This window comes from Homo sapiens, chromosome 9 (assembly GCF_000001405.40).
Source record: "Homo sapiens chromosome 9, GRCh38.p14 Primary Assembly".
Taxonomy (NCBI): Eukaryota; Metazoa; Chordata; class Mammalia; order Primates; family Hominidae; genus Homo; species Homo sapiens.
In genome coordinates this window covers 41,018,661-41,035,732 of record NC_000009.12, presented here as the reverse complement: position 1 = coordinate 41,035,732, position 17,072 = coordinate 41,018,661, and the positions used below count along the sequence as shown (strand labels likewise).

Genomic DNA, 17,072 nt, shown 5'->3' with positions numbered 1-17,072 from the left:
GTCCCTGATAAACCAGTTGAGAATATTGTCCCCTGTGGGCTAGCAAATAACTTTCCAAACCATGGCTAGGGGAGGCTGGTTTTACTCTGACAACAAAAACCATTTGTCCTTGTTTCTTGTGGAAATTTCCCAGCAGTTCTTGATTTCACTTTACCCCTCCTTCTCAATAAATCTCTGTTTCAGTCAGAAACCAGAGGCCTTGCTTAGAAATTTCACAAAGGACCTGTTCTGATATGTAAGTGACCATTTAAAAGGATTACTCATGCTTGTTGGTTGGGAATCAGAATTCTGTGGGGCTCTGACGTGGTGATTTGTTCTGGGTATTTGATCTGTTGTGTAGGTCCCAGGTGGATTCTCATGATGGACACTTTATAAGCTTCTTTCTTCCTAGGTAAAATCAATGCAGCTTCAAAATTTTGACCTTGACAGTGGTTTCCCATATAGCTTATTTTTTTTTAATTAGTAAAATTATAGGAATGTGCCCATAAATGCCAGGCCCTGGAATAATAACAACTGAGGACACAGTTGAGACCCATTAAATGACACACTTGCCTAAACTCCTGGGATTCCAGAATAAGGGGAGGCCTGTACCCTTGAGGCTGATGAATTATTCAGACAAACTTTCATTGTTCACAGATAATTGTGGTTCCCCAAGGGAAGATTTTCAGTGTCTTTAATTTCTACTCTTACAGTGTCACTAAAACAAGGATTCCATTTAGCCCAGAATAATACAGTTTCAGCCTTGAAAATGGCATTCTTTTGGGGCTTTGTCATTCTAAATGTGTCTGATTTGTGGTTGCAGATGAATCTGTGTTGCTGAAACATTCTGGTTCAAATGATTTCAGAAGTAAAACACATTGAAAGTATGTTTGTGGCCTGAGGTCAGAGGTATTAAATAATCCTTTGTGTCATCATCCTTCAACAATATTTATGAAGCACCCATCTGTGCTTGGGGCTGTGCCGAATTCTGTGCAAAACAAGGCAAACACACACAGCCTGAAGCCCTATTCACTAGACATATTTACAGTCTCAAACACGGCTAGCATCCTTGAATACATCCCAAGAAGGCAGATCTAAAAAGTATGTTTTGACTATGAAAAAGGCCATCCAAGGTCCACCACCCATAAACAGGGTGGTGAATGGATTAGTGCTCATCTACCCTCTATTTGCTCTTATGCCACCCCTATGGTTCACCATTTATCCACTCAAGAAATATTTATTAAGGACCTCCTATGTCCTAGACACGGTCCCCGTGGCGGTGCTTTCAGTCTAATGGGGAAGACAAAGAATAACAAGTAAGGGAAACATACAGAAACACAAATTGTAACACAGGCTAGTGGAAATGAACTTGGTGCAGTACTCATTGGTGGGCATCGAGCATCTTGCTTAGATAGGAGATCCAGGGAAGGACTCTTGGAGGAGATTAGGCATAGGACCAAAGATCAGAAACAGGTATCTGGACCTGACTGTGATGCTGGGATTAGAAATGACACCCACACATGTGAAAACACTTATTCCTCAGAAGGTAGTCTACAGCTATTTGTTGCCAATTCCCAATCTAAAATATGTACTATAGCTTTATCTTGAACATACTCAGCTGATCGTTGGAATCCAGACAGTGTTAATCCTCCAAGTATGCAAGTATCTACTGATCTCTGGTGATCTCGATTCTTACCACGTCCTTTAGATCTGTGCTGTTTCATCTCCCAGATCAGTCATGATGGATGACAGTGGTGGAAGAGATAGTGATGTGAGCTCATATGTAATTACTCAGTCTCCCATACATTGCTTCTGCTATAGAATGATGGGAAACATTTCGCTTTAGCAGATAAATATGTTCAAATGTAACCTATATTAACATAAAAGAAAAAAAGAAGAAAGCCCTTCATCCTGTAAGTTATTGCCCTGAAACTCTGTATAGCTGATTCAGTTAGGATCAAGGCAGGAAAGAGATGGCACCCTCAAAAAGGTCTTACTAAAGAGAATTTAGTAATTGTAACTTAATAACCTGGTCTAAGGAACGGATGAGGTTAAGGAAACCAAAAAACACAAGAAGGAATGGGGAGGTACCTTAGCAACAGCAATAGCAGGAAGCTGTTAACACCCCTAGGACTAAGAAGGGTCCAGGGGAGAGGTCAGGGTGACCACAGCCTAGTGAGATCTGGAGTTGTGAAAAGTGGGCGGTCAGACAAGAGCTGAACTTGGCAGGGGGGAGAAATGCCCCAACTTGTCTCTTCTCACCCTCCAACCTCCTGCTGGTGCCTCCTATAACCAAACCGCACTGGAAGCCAGAGGGCAGCCTATGGAGTTCTGCCTCCTGGGGAAGAGAACAGGGCATTTGATGAAGTGGGGATTTTGGGGTAGAAGGGGACAAAAAGCCACCAGCATAAATGGCACAATGGCCCATCTTTTTGCTTATTTCTACTTGCTTATCTCCTAGTCTCATCCTCTTCCCTCTTTTTTGGACTTCAGGCATAGAGAGTCGACTTAATCATACTCATCATTGAACAATCCTTTAATAATTGGTCTGATTGAAGGCTCATTTCTTATTACTTTAAAAATGATAATGCATTTCTTTTCTCTCTGTTTGACTGCCCCACCATAGACAACCACAAAAAATGTGTTTATTGGGTTTTGTGTATATATTTTTTGCATATATTTTTACTTAATATGACTAGTACTATATAAGAGATTGTATTTGATTTCTTACCTTTTTTTCCACTAAAGACCACACTTTAAGATCCTCTTGATGGCTGTACATCCATCTAGGGTGTTGCTTCAAACTGCTGCTTATTTGTCCATGAGTGCATCCATGATATTTTGCCCTTGATTCCCTCAGCAATGAACACTCAGACTGCTTCTCACTTCCTATCACAGTGAATACTGCTGCACAGGCACCCTGTGGATATGTGTGAGAATCTCTTCAACACGTGTATTCAGAAGCAGAATTATTGGGCCAGAGGGGGTGTCTATACTTAATTTAGTCAATTTTAACCAAATACTGTCAGATTGCACTCCAGAATGCCCATCTCTTGCCTGCTTCTCCAACCGGTCTCTAAGTTCCTGCATCTTCAAATCCAGGCCAACACTTCATGTTGTCTAACTTTCTAATTTTTATCCAGTAGACTAGATAGAGAGTAACATACCATTGCAATTTTAATTTTTCATGTCTCACATTACTAATGAGCTTAAGCATCTCTTCATATGCTTGAGAAATTTGGGAGTTTCCTTTTCTATTAATTGCCTATTCCTGTCCTTTGACCATTTTTTTTTTTCTATTTAGGGTTCTTCTTTTTAGTCTGATGAATTTGCAGAAGTTCCTTGGATGATCTAGATACTAGACCCGTTGTCAGTTTTAGGCACTTCTAATTTTCATCTTTTATCTTTAGACAAAATTTTACTCCTGATTTCGATAGCCAAATTGATATCAGTAGACAGATCTGTTATAGACAACTCAAATTTAACATGTATAAATAGCAACTTTTCTAATTTTTCCTGAAAATTGTTTTTCCTGTGTTTAGTCTCTGCATGAGTCACCTATTATCTAAATAATAAACCTTGGAATAATCCCTCATTCCAGATGTACCACTAATCACTGGGTTTTGTTAGAAGGATCCCTTAAATGTTTTTAAATCATTATTTCTTCTCCATTCCTACTTTTCCTTTCCTAATTTACGTTCTCATTATCTTTTGCTTGGACTATTGTAATAGTCAATAAACTGTTCCCACTTCCTCTAGACTTCCTCTTCTTCATTTCCTCTTCTGTACTGTCCCAAGGGCAGTTGTTCTAAAGCAGAAAGTCGTGCATTTTCTTCCCTTGTTTAAAATGGGTTGGTGGGCTTTGAATGCCTGCAGGAGATTCCGTCTCCTGATTATACAACATGCATAATCTCCTGATTATAGAACATGCATAATCTCCTGATTATGAACACTTCACTCCTGCAGACATTCTTATCCTACACTCTAAACATGTCATGCTGCTTACAGTTCCCCAAATTCGATGCCCTCACATTTCTATGCCTTTGCATGCACTTCTGTCCCTGAAATGTATTCCCTTTGCCCCACCTCATTCCACTTTGTTCTTCTTTATCTTTTATGGCTTGAGTCAAGCATCCCCTTCTCAGTAAGTCCTTTGATACCATGTTCCCTCCACCCCAACAGATATTTCAAAAAGTTAACTACTATGAGCTATCAACATGCTTCTTTTGACTTTGGTACAGAGAGACATCTGGTGATACTATCTGTTGATTGCAAAGAAAAATATACCCGACTAATAAGAAGAAAATGAATGGTGCATAATGACCCAATCTCCTTTGGATATAATAAAACTATGCCTGATTTGTGGTCTTCATTTACATTTAGGTGAGTTTGTAATGAGTTGGATTTTTAGTAATGATATGTGGGTACTGACGCTCTTAGCAAATACAGCTTAATCAATGTGAGATGAAAGGAAGCAACTGCATTGTAGTTATTTCCTAGTCGATAATGAAAAACTCCCCACAGCCTGAACTTAAGCGCAAGGTTGTTTATTCCCTGCCCTGGCAAATTGAATGAGGACTGGATTCACTACCAAGGCATTTACAAGATGCATAAGGTGGCCTTCCTTTATGGTTTGTGTGTTGACCTACTGGAAAGGATGCTGAGACTGGTTCAAGTCTGTAATTGTGTGTTTCTAAGAGTTGGTGTCTAATGGGAAAGTGATCTCAGGCCTGTAGTTAGTAAAAAGCATTTATGTATTAACTGGCTAGAGTGAGAGGAATAAATTTTTAACACTTAAGACTATAAACTGTAGGAGATTTGGAGATAGTGGCTAAATCCTCTTGGAAATGCTGGATGCATCATCTTTTATTCAATTTTTCTGAGCCATCTTGGGTTTCTGCTATCTGAGTTAGTCAGAAAAACACTTAGATGAATGTTAAGTAACCCAAGTGCTAAAATATATAGTCGTCATCACTCTCCCATGAGAACTGAAAGACGAACCTTTTTTGGAAGTCAGCTCTCTTTTATCTGCTGTATTTGTGAGGACTCTTTGATACTCAGATTCTGTCTCGGGAAGGGCATTGTCATTATTTAGGGTGTCCAGCAGCCTATTTTCAGCCCTCCCACCGATGTGGCCCTTCTTGGTCTAAACAAGTCACTTTGACCAGTGGTGGATGGATCCAATACTGAAAGAAGCTCCTTAGAATCGCCCTGTCTGATTAGGGATTCAAGGCTACTTTAAACTGGGGTTTCAATGCCATCCAGTCTCAGTGCCACCCAGTCTCGAACATGTGGCGTGCTGTTGTTCTCCAACGGGAACATTAACTTCATGGCCTGCCTTTGTAATCTCAATTTTGGTCTTCCGAGGCTACATTTGGTTAAATAACCTCTCTCTTTTATTCCTTGTGACTTAAAATATTTATTCAATTTAAAAATCAATCCCATTGATTACTGCAAAGAGGCATGAGGTATATATTTTGAGCTGATAAAAATGTTCCATATCTTGATTACAGTGGTAGTTACACAGCTATATATATATATGTGTGTGTGTGTGTGTGTGTGTGTGTGTATATATATATTTGTCAAAGCTCATGAAACTGTACACTTAGAAGTGATGAATTTTGGCTGGGCGCGGTGGCTCACGCCTGTAATCCCAGCACTTTGGGAGGCTGAGGCAGGAGGATCACTTGAGGTCAGGAGTTCAAGACCAGCCTGGCTAACATGACGAAGCCCCTGTCTCTACTAAAATTGCAAAAATTAGCTGGGTGTGGTGGCGCAGGCTTGTAATCCCAGCTACTTGGGAGGCTGAGGCATGAGAATCGCTTAAACCTGGGAGGCAGAGCTTGCAGTGAGCTGAGATCCTGCCACTGCACTCCAGCCTGGGCGACAGGGTGAGACTCCTTCTCAAAAAAAAAAAAAAAAAAAAAAAAGAAGTAATGAATTTTATTTTATATAAACTATACCTTGATAAAGGTGATAAAAATAATCAAACTCTATTTATTTAAAAATAAAACAAAGCTTCTCTCTTGGAACTTCTTTTCTGACTAGGGGCAAGAATCATTGCTCTCTTTGAATGACTCTAGTTCCCAGCATAGAGGTTTGTATTTACTAGACCACCAATAAACATTGGTTAGGTTCAGGTGAGTTGAATTGTCTCTGGAATCACTGTTTACTGCTTTCCTTTTTGTTTGAACCAGGACATAAATATATGGCCTGCAATCTTGTCTTTGGAAAAGACATAACTTACACAGTTGGAGGTTCTCAGATATCAGTCATTAGTCAAATTTATTGGTGATATAAAAGATATAAGGAAGGTAGTTTAGCCCGGCCTAACTCTCAATCATATGCTTTGTCAAGCCACCAGAGAAGTTTGGTGCTTGACAACGTTTTAAAATGAAGGAGGATAATGTTAAGTCATCTTAGGCCTGAAGGTACTTCTGGAGTGAAAGAGCATTGCAGTTCTTGTGTGTGCTTTATATTTCAAAATGTATTTTGTAGCTCTCCCCACCAAAAAAGTTTTAAAATGGATTTCAGCTTCAACTTTCTAGGGTAGTGTTGAGCTGGGTCTATTGAAATACTGCTTAAATGCTTGCTAAATATCACTGATTTCACTTTACCTGTCATGCTGAGGGAAAGATAGTATCTAAGATAGATGTGCAGGGTGAATCAAGATGCTGCCTGAAAGTTTTGTGTGCTCAGGAAAGCATTTTTATTTACAAGTGAACTCTATTACAGCAGAGATCCCCAACCCCAGGCCACATAGCAGGTGAGTGAGCATTACTGCATGAGTGCCACCTCCTGTCAGATCGGTGGCAGGATTAGATTCTCATAGGAGAGCAAATCCTACTGTGAACTGTGCATGTGAGGAGTCTAGGTTGCATGCTCCTTATGAGAATCTAATGCCTGATGATCTGTCACTGTCTCCCATCATCTCCAGATGGGAACCATCTAGTTTCAGGAAAACAAGCTCAGGGCTCCCACTGATTCTACATTATGGTGTGTTGTATAATTATTTCAGTATATATTACAACATAATAATAATAGAAATAAAGTGCACAATAAATGGAATGTTCTCGAATCATCCCCAAATCATCCCCCTCCCCGAGTCTGTGGAAAAATTGTCTTCCATGAAACCGGTCCATGGTGCCAAAAAGGTTGGGGACCACTATGTTATATAGTATGTTGTTTGATTGTCATACAAACCTTCAGAAGTATTTGAGGCAGGCACTATTATTGACATTGTATTTACAGAAAAATATGATGATGAGACGTTAAGTAATTGCCCAAGGTCACACAGAATAAATTAGTCAATATTGGTACCAGATAATCTGGCTCAAGCCTCATAATCTCTTCACTATTCCTTATTTGTGAGGGCAGCAAAAGTTCTGATTATACTCCGAGTGAAAGTCATTCGTGTGGGTTGGTGTGGGGGTAGGGGTGGGGGTAGGGAGAGAGACCTGTATTACCCCCAAGGTGGTAGATAACATCAGATAAGCAGAATTAATTTCAACCCAATACGTCTGTAACTTTGACGTTGAATATCACTACTGTTTAGTAAAACTCTGGAAGAAGCAGTCCTGGCTTTAACTTAAGACTTCCAGGAAAATGTTGACCGTAGTTCAAGGTAAGGTTGGAAATTTACATCTTTGCCTCAGGATCTGCTTGAAGATCATCAGCAGCAGCTGCATTAAAAAGTATTTATTAGGCTTCAGCAGCTTTTCTCCCTTATATTCTGGGTAAAGTGGGTTAAGCAGGTATGATTCCTTCTAGAGGTTGTTTTGTTTTGTTTTGTTTTGGAGATGAAGTCTTGCTGTGTTGCCCAGGCTGGAGTGCAGTGGTGCAGTCTCGGCTCACTGCAACCTCTACCTCCTAGGTTCAAGCAATTCTCATGCCTCAGCCTCCTGAGTAGCTGGGATTACAGGCATGTGACAAAATGCCTGGCTAATTTTTTTGTATTTTTACTAGAGACAGGGTTTTGCCATGTTGGCCAGGCTGGTTTTTAACTCCTGGCCTCAAGTGATCCACCCACCTTGGCCTCCCAAAGTGCTGGGATTAGAGGTGTGAGCTACTGCACCCAGCCTAAGTTTTAAATCTGAGATAGACAACACTGATGACCAGAAACATAAAAGATATCGATTAAGTACAATGAGATCCTCTAGTAAATAATGTGTTAGCAGTTGGATATGAGATGCCCGAGCCTAGGAAAAAATGAAAACAAATCTTGTCAGCCCTATCTATATGCCCTACACAGGTGAGGGCGGAATCCAGACCTGGGAATCCAGTCATCTCATCTCTGATCAAGTTGCTGCCTGACGGTTAAATTTGTCATTTGGAGTTCCAAGTTCTTTTAGAGTCCCTGATGGCATTGGTGGTTTATATTCTGGCATGAGGGAAAACTCCTTGTAAGTTGATGCCTGTATTTAAGAATGCAAGATCCACCAGGACTCACAGAGAGATCATATCACTTGGGATCTTTGTGCAGCAAATTAGAGAAAACTAGCTGAAATGGGGCCTAAATAGCAAAAGGAATGTGTTGGCCCACGTAACTGAAGTAGATTGGCCTCAGGTGAACCGTGATCCAGCAGCTCACATGATACTACCATTTGACCTGGTATTCCCTCTTGTCTGCTTTGCCTTAGATGGTATCACTCTTATCCCTAGGCTCTGAGCCTCTGACTGTCTGGTCCAGATAGCAAGTGTCTGCAGGATTTCTAGACCCCATGCTCTTACACCAGCTTGTCTATGAAGATGGAAGACAAAGCTTTTCTTTCCAAGAAAAAACTGAAAACATCAACTCAAGTCTTGACTTTGGTTGGGGTTTGTACTTTATCTGACTCATTGATTCTCTGGGGCTATAGACGATGGGATAGACTGACAGTCTTAAGCCTCCTTCCCCTCATTAGGTAGAGCTAGGAGGAGGGTCATTCCTTCCCAAACTAAGTGACTAAGAATGGATACGTTTGTCCTCCAAAGCAAGATCTTTCTTTTTTCCTTCCAGAAAGAGTAACTGCAGTAATTAGGACCCAATTGATGGCAAAGGGATATGATCTAGGTGAGTCCATTGGGGTGCAGTTCTGGAGGGGGAATTCAGGACCTTCTTCTTACCTCCTCCTACCCCTGCAAATAGTCTGAGACTCACTAATAACTGACAGTGGTATTCAAATTGGAACAGTGGTTCTTGCCTCTGACCTTTGCATATGCTCAAGTAGTCATCTGTCCTTCTTTCTCATCCTCTCCTCTTTATTCCTTTCTTCCTTCTTCCCCTTTCCCTCCATCTCTATTCCTCCCTCCTTCCCTTCGCTTCTCCTTCCCTTCTCCCTCCTTCCTTCCTTCTTTTCTTATCTTCCCTTCCTCCCCACCTTGCCTACCTCTCACATTTCCATTTTCCAAAAAACCTTTTTTAGCCCCTTTTGTGTGCCAAGCACACTGCATGGTACTGGATATTCCTGATGGAGCTCATCTTCCCTTCCATGTTCCCTTTTCCTTTAGCAAACTTCACTGCCAACAAAATGTGTTAATATTCTCTGTGTAAGGTGTTCTGCTAGATTCAGGGAGGTCCGTGGCTTCAGCGTGAATCTGAAGGATAGAGCTGGGGAGTGTTTTTAAATCATGATGACATTGTTCATAAAGATTGTGTCACACAGATTCTACTACCTATATTTTGGGGTGGGAGGGAGAGACAGGGAATGTAGTTTAAGAAAAGCAAGCATTTATGTCTGCCAGTGTTCTCAAATGAGCTCATGTATGAAGTGGGACATGGAACTCGCTGACCTTTATTGGCCTCTGCATTCAGACTACCTGGGGTTGAATTCTAACTCCTCTGCCTTCTGACTTTATGAGCTTGGGCTGTTTACCTAACTTCTCAGGGTGTCTTAGTCTATTTTTGGTTTCTTATAACAGAATACCTGAAACTTGGTAATTTATGAAGAAAAGGAATTCATTTCTTACAGTTATGGAGGCTGAGAAGTCCAAGGTCCAGGGGCATAACAGGTGAGAGCCTTCTTACTGTCGAGGACTCTGCAGAGTCCCAAGGTAGTACAGGGGGTGAGGGGGCTGAGCATGCTAGCTCAGGTCTCTCTTCCTCCTCTTATAAAGCCACCAGACCCACTCCCATGGTAACTCATTAATCCACTAATCCATGAATGAGTTAATCCATTCATGAGGTCAGAGTCCTCATGACCAAATCCCTTCTTAAAGCCCCCACCTCTCGATACTGCCACACTAGGGATGAAGTTTCAACAGAAATTTTGAAGGGGATAAACATTCAAACCATAGCATGGGGTCTCGTACTGAGGATTAAATTAGGTTATATATATATATATATATATATATATATATATATATATATATATATATATATATAGTGCTTAGAGCAGTGCCAGTCCACAGTATGCGTTCAATGAAGTTAGCTATTATTGTCATGGCGATGGGGCTTTATGGATAAGAGAGTGAAGCATAGGCAGTGGATTCTCATGAGTAGTCTCCCGTGCTTCCACATTAAGGACTAAATGTTGGCCAGTGGCTGTGCTCAGGCCCCGTCTTCCACATGTGGATGCTAGTGAGGCAGGGGTGCTTTCTTGCTGTGTATATTCACATTTCAGAGTCCCTCAGAGCTTCCAGAGGACTCTGCTGTGTGAACCTCACATATCTCTATTTTATAGTTTTTCAGATTACTTTGTAAATAATTATTGTTAATTTTCTTTAGCTTTTTAAAAATATGTATTAATATATTGAGCCTTTCAGTTATGACCTAGGAATAGACCTACGTTTTTTTGGGGTGGGGAAGGGGTCTGTCTGTTGCCTAGGCTGGAGGGCAGTGGCACAATCACAGCTCACTACAATGAACTTCCAGGCTCAAGTGATCCTCCCATCTCAGCCTCCCAAGTAGCTGGGAACACAGACATGCACCACCCTACCTGGCTAATTTTTTATTTTTATTTTTTGTAGAGACAAGGTCTCACTATGCTGCCTAGGCTGGTCTCAAACTCCTGGACTCAAGCAATCCTCCTGCCTCAGCCTCTCAAAGTGCTGGGATTATAGGCGTGAGCCACCATGCCCAGCCCCTATTGCCTTTTGATCCGTACTTTTTGATTAATATCCTCTAAAACACATGAAAATTCATTGTTCCCTCTGTTAGGTGCTTCCATAGAACACATATAGGACCCTAGAAGTCCCATCTCTTTAGAAAAATTATCTTTCTGGGAAAATACAGAGTTTCTTTTATAACACATCTGTGTCTCTGTATGCTGGCCAAAAGCCTCAAACCCCCGAACAGACCTGAAATGTTTATCCCTACCACTACTTCTGATAATAGGGGTTTGACTTTGTATTGCCCACACATCCCATTAAAACATATAATGTGATTTGTGCGCATATTGTGAGCATTTGTTCATTTTATAACCTGTTTAGTAGTTCAGCCAAAAGCAACAAAAGTGAAATAAGAGAAACATCCTGAGCAAAAAGAATTGCTCTTTGATATACCTGTGCACTGGCATGAGAGGACAGAGGAGAGATTTGTGAAAGTGGACTCCTTTGTTACTAATATAACATCGGCTACTTTCTTTAACAATTAACATCTCAACCCCAATTTATCGTTATTGTGGCTGTTTTTTTGCTTTCATAATGACTTCAGAAAAATTCATAACATCATCTGGAGTCCCTTTATCTGCAAAGCGATTAGTCAATTTCACTGGTACTCTAGGGAGAGACTTGGGAAGTGAAAGGTGGACATTTCCCACCAGATGGGGTTTCTTTACATGACTCTTATCAAATCAGGTGGGTGTTAGGAGCCTGAGAAATGTGAGCGTGAAGAAATGTGAAATGTGAGATTTGGATAAGGTCGTTTGGATTTAAAGAGGAAATTTCCATCAAGGGCCAACTCCTAGAGGAGATCACAGAGCAGAGGCTGGGGTGTGGCTGCAGGTAGCCATGCCATTGAGCCAAGGTGGGCTGACTCGAGGAAGAGCTCAAGCAGATGCTTTAAAACAAAGCATAAATGTCTTCTTTTGAGAAGTGTCTGTTCATGTCCTTCACCCACTTTTGGATGGGGTTGTTTGTTTTTTTCTTGTAAATTTGTTTGAGTTCATTGTAGATTCTGGATATTAGCCCTTTGTCAGATGAGTAGGTTGCGAAAATTGTCTCCCATTTTGTAGGTTGCCTGTTCACTCTCATGGTAGTTTCTTTTGCTGTGCAGAAGCTCTTTAGTTTAATTAGATCCCATTTGTCAATTTTGGCTTTGGTTGCCATTGCTTTTGGTGTTTTAGACATGAAGTCCTTGCCCATGCCTATGTCCTGAATGGTAATGCCTAGGTTTTCTTCTAGGGTTTTTATGGTTTTAGGTCGAACGTTTAAGTCTTTAATCCATCTTGAATTGATTTTTGTATAAGGTATAAGGAAGGGATCCAGTTTCAGCTTTCTACATATGGCTAGCCAGTTTTCCCAGCACCATTTATTAAATAGGGAATCCTTTCCCCGTTGCTTTTCTCAGGTTTGTCAAAGATCAGATAGTTGTAGATATGCGGCGTTATTTCTGAGGGCTCTGTTCTGTTCCATTGATCTATATCTCTGTTTTGGTACCAGTACCATGCTGTTTTGGTTACTGTAGCCTTGTAGTATAGTTTGAAGTCAGGTAGTGTGATGCCTCCAGCTTTGTTCTTTTGGCTTAGGATTGACTTGGCGATGCAGGCTCTTTTTTGGTTCCATATGAACTTTAAAATAGACATTTTATGCAGCCAAAAAACACATGAAAAAATGCTCATCATCACTGGCCATCAGAGAAATGCAAATCAAAACCACAATGAGATACCATCTCACACCAGTTAGAATGGCAATCATTAAAAAGTCAGGAAACAACAGGTGCTGGAGAGGATGTGGAGAAATAGGAACACTTTTACACTGTTGGTGGGACTGTAAACTAGTTCAACCATTGTGGAAGTCAGTGTGGCGATTCCTCAGGGATCTAGAACTAGAAATACCATTTGACCCAGCCATCCCATTACTGGGTATATACCCAAAGGACTATAAATCATGCTGCTATAAAGACACATGCACACGTATGTTTATTGCGGCATTATTCACGATAGCAAAGACTTGGAACCAACCCAAATGTCCAACAATGATAGACTGGATTAAGAAAATGTGGCACATATACACCATGGAATACTATGCAGCCATAAAAAAGGTTGAGTTCATGTCCTTTGTAGGGACATGGATGAAATTGGAAATCATCATTCTCAGTAAACTATCACAAGAACAAACAACCAAACATCGCATATTCTCACTCATAGGTGGGAATTGAACAATGAGATCACATGGACACAGGAAGGGGAATATCACACTCTGGGGACTGTTGTGGGGTGGGGGGAGGGGGGAGGGATAGCATTGGGAGATACACCTAATGCTAGATGACGAGTTAGTGGGTGCAGCGCACCAGCATGGCACATGTATACATATGTAACTAACCTGCACAATGTGCACATGTGCCCTAAAACTTAAAGTATAATAAAAAAAAAAAGAACAAAGCAAAAAAATGTGAGTGTGTGACTGAAGTGGTACATCTGACTTTGCCACTGATTCTCATCACTTCTCAGGGCCTCGCTTTCCCCATCTAGAAGGGCTGGGATAGTGGCTGTTCTGCAAAGAGCCCCCAGGGGCCACATTGCGTCTAGCTCATAGCTCTGCCTCCCTAGTAGGATGCAGCCCTTGTCCTCAGGGTTCCAGGCAGTGGGAGCTCCGGCCACCATGCCCATATTTAGGCAGCAACTAGAGAGAGGATGAAGAGGAAGGGCAAAGGACTACACTATCTTTTAAGGAGATTCATGGAAGTGGATAGTTGACACTTTTGCATATATCCTATCGGCCAGGACTTAGTGATGTGGCCACACATAGCTCCAAGGGAAGTTGAGAAATGGAGTCTTCATTCTGAATGGCCATGAGCATAGCTAAAAATGAGGGGTTGTCTTATTAAGATAGAAGGGGATGAGAGTTATAGAGGGACAACTAGCTGTCTGTACTGTGGGTTTAGATGATGTCCTAAACATTCAGTGTAGAATATTGCAGTCTTCGAAGATGTAAAATATCTTTAATATTTGATTGCTAATTTTTTTCTTTAGACTAAAGAATTTAGGATGCTGACATAAACTATGATGATGATATTTTTGATGATGGTGATGAGGATGATGATGATGAGGAGGAGGAGGAGGAGGAGGAGAGGAGGAATATCTACCAGAGAAAATAGTCCAGGGTGTTATATATGACAATTTACAACCCGATGAGAAAAGTATTTTTCCCATTTTACAAATAAGTAAATTGATGCTCAGAGTGGGCAAACCTCTGAGGCCAAACCAGGTCTTACGAATGGAGTCATGATATAGCCACAAAGATTGGGAACAAGGTTTTTGGGAAGCAATGTGGCTCTCTGTTGCAAGTAAAAAAACTGAATTCCAAATGACATAAACAACAAGGAAAAAGTTACATCTCGTATTAAAATGTCTAGAAAGGGCAGCAGCAGAGGTGGGTAATTTATTGCCTCAGCAATGTCTTCAAGGAACCAGGTTCTATCATTCTCAGGATGTGGTCTTTGACCTTGATGATATTTCCTCATGGAAAGGCCCCAGCAGTGCGAGCTATTACCCTCACATACGATGTGGTCTTATGGCAGAAAAGAGACTGCCTACTGTTTATGTGTCTTTTTAAAGTCGGGGAAACTTTTCCAGAAGTCCTCCTGTGCCATATTTGTCCTATTTTGTGTAAATTCACCTTTGCTGAGGACTAGGTACCTGAATAAAGTCATGATTCTCTTAATATGAAAAGCAGTGGGAATGATTTTGGGTGGGAAACTGTCAACACCTCTAATTCATTCATAGGTTATTTGCCCATTAGCTGGGTGTGCCTGTAGTCCCAACTACCCCAGAGGCTAAGGCTGGAGGATTGCTTGAGCCCAGGAGTTCAAGACCACCCTGGGCAACACAGAGACATACAGAGACCCTATCTCTTTAAAAAGTATATATAAATATATATATACACACATATATGTAGTGTGTGTATGTATTAAATATATAATATGTGTGTGTGTATATGTGTGTGTCTATATATATATATATATATATATATATATATATATATATATATGATTTTCCCAATATTTAAGGACAATCTAGAATTCTAGAATTATGGATATTTCCCTGAAAATGTCATTACTTTTGGATGTCACTTGCTTATTATAACTTACTCACTTGCTTATCAATAAACATTTATGGAAAACCTTCTCTGGGTCAGATAGTGTATGAATAATGAAATTCATGCTTACTGTCAAAAAACATTTTATGATTTAGTGACAGAGTCAGATATCCTCAGCAACATTTACAAAACAATGCATGGAATGCCACAATAGAGGCAATGAGGATGCTTAGAGGAAACCACTTATGTTGGCCTGGGGAATCGGAACTTGTGGCTGTAATAAAGCTTTCTTCTCTTAGATTATGAATGTTGCTCATGGGGAGCACTTAAATGAGCTCCCTGAGAACAGGGACCACAACTTCTTTGTTTTTATTTTTTAGTCTGAGTGTAGTGCTTTGACTATAGTAGTTGATCAATGTGGTGAGCAGAAAAGGTAGCTTCCCTACATTACAGCTAGTAGTGGTGTTTGCTGGACTTCAGCAGGTCTTTGTAAATTCAAAGCCCAGGCTCTCTAACACCATACATAGCACTTTGTTACTCACAATGAATGGTTTGCTACAGAATGCTTTCTCTTTTCTAATCTGCTTCTTGTCTGATTGTCATGCAAACTTGAATGGGATAATAAATGTAAAGTAATTAGCATAGAAGAAGCACTCAGTGACTATTACCTGCTATTATTACTTTATAATGTAGTCTGCATTATTTTTTTCCTTTATTTAAATCTTCAACTTTGCTGAATTGCTTATTGAAGAAAATGCTGTCTCTAAACATAACATTACTGGCAGCTGGAAGTGAAACTTACACATTATGCTTCATGGTATCTGAGAGTCATGAAGTTTACAAAGACATTTCTGGTCTTATTCTGATAAATATCACATGCTAGTATTTCCTACATTCCCATTTACTCAGTGTTCCCTACTTCCTAAAGGAGGGAAAAGCGCCGTCGAACAGTTGTCAAATTTTCTTCACAAACAGCTTGGTTTTCCTTAATGGATGAAATCACCCTTCGTTGATGGATCCATTTGCACAGGAATTTCTAGATCATCTCAGGGCTCACACTCTGGGTCCCACCTCCTGCTCTGCTACAAACGGTTAGGTATCTTTATGCATCAGTATCCAGCTGGCCATAGCGGCCCTGTGTCAGAAATTATATTTCCTCTAATTGGCTAAAGGGACCATTTTCTTAATAGTTTCTTTCTTTTATAGGGCCATGTGCTATATTCCATTTATATACACATTCTGGAACACAGTATTCCAGAGCATGTTAATTGTTCAGAGATAATGGACCTAACAAATAGAATGGTGCGGTTAAGGAGAAATCCAGTTGCATGGAGGTCCTTGGTCTTTTGTGTGGCTTGAAGAGGTTGAGGATGCTGATGTGTTCTTTGGGAAGAGATTCACAGTTGACAGGAAACATCTGCTTTAATTTGCTCCAACATCAACAAGATCGATGTGGTAGGAAACCTGTTGTTACTGTGTGAGTTCCATTTATCAAGGCAGGGCTTGGCCTGAAATCAGGGCTATTTGGACAGGTACCACAATGGGTCAAAATATGGACATAACAAAGCAGCATTACTTGAGAGTATCGTGTGGCTGTTTCTCTATTTAAAGGGAGTCATGTTCCTTCTATACCTGTCTGGCTATCTTCATTTCTTTCTATGTCTTTCTCGTTATGTTTTTCTTTTTCAGCACATTTCCATTCAGGGCCTCAATTACGAGTGTAACAGTTCTCACCCTAAATTCTGCCTCCATATCCTCTCTCCTGGGTAAGAAAGGCTCCCAGTGATGGCGACTCTCAATGGAGGGGGATTCTCCCCAAGGGTTTCCCAAATATTTTCAGAAACAGCTATGCAAACACACAGACTCACACACGCTAGTACTCACCAAACCTTGGAGATTATCCACTACCCCTAAGG

At 40.7% G+C, this 17,072-nt stretch overlaps 2 pseudogenes across 2 annotated transcripts in view; one reads left to right on the top strand and one right to left on the bottom strand.

The window, feature by feature from the left end:
• FRG1HP (FSHD region gene 1 family member H, pseudogene) overlaps positions 1 to 17,072 on the bottom strand; it is a 46,843-nt pseudogene that overhangs the window by 3,371 nt on the left and 26,400 nt on the right. The window contains exons 5-6 of the transcript NR_156730.1: positions 2,711 to 2,899; positions 1,676 to 1,794 (exon numbers count right to left, since the gene is read on the bottom strand). The product of NR_156730.1 is annotated as an FSHD region gene 1 family member H, pseudogene, transcript variant 2 (transcript). The remainder of the gene's footprint in view (positions 1 to 1,675; positions 1,795 to 2,710; positions 2,900 to 17,072) is intronic.
• PGM5P2 (phosphoglucomutase 5 pseudogene 2) overlaps positions 1 to 17,072 on the top strand; it is a 67,615-nt pseudogene that overhangs the window by 38,893 nt on the left and 11,650 nt on the right. The window contains exons 7-8 of the transcript NR_002836.2: positions 4,221 to 4,362; positions 9,880 to 9,969. The product of NR_002836.2 is annotated as a phosphoglucomutase 5 pseudogene 2 (transcript). The remainder of the gene's footprint in view (positions 1 to 4,220; positions 4,363 to 9,879; positions 9,970 to 17,072) is intronic.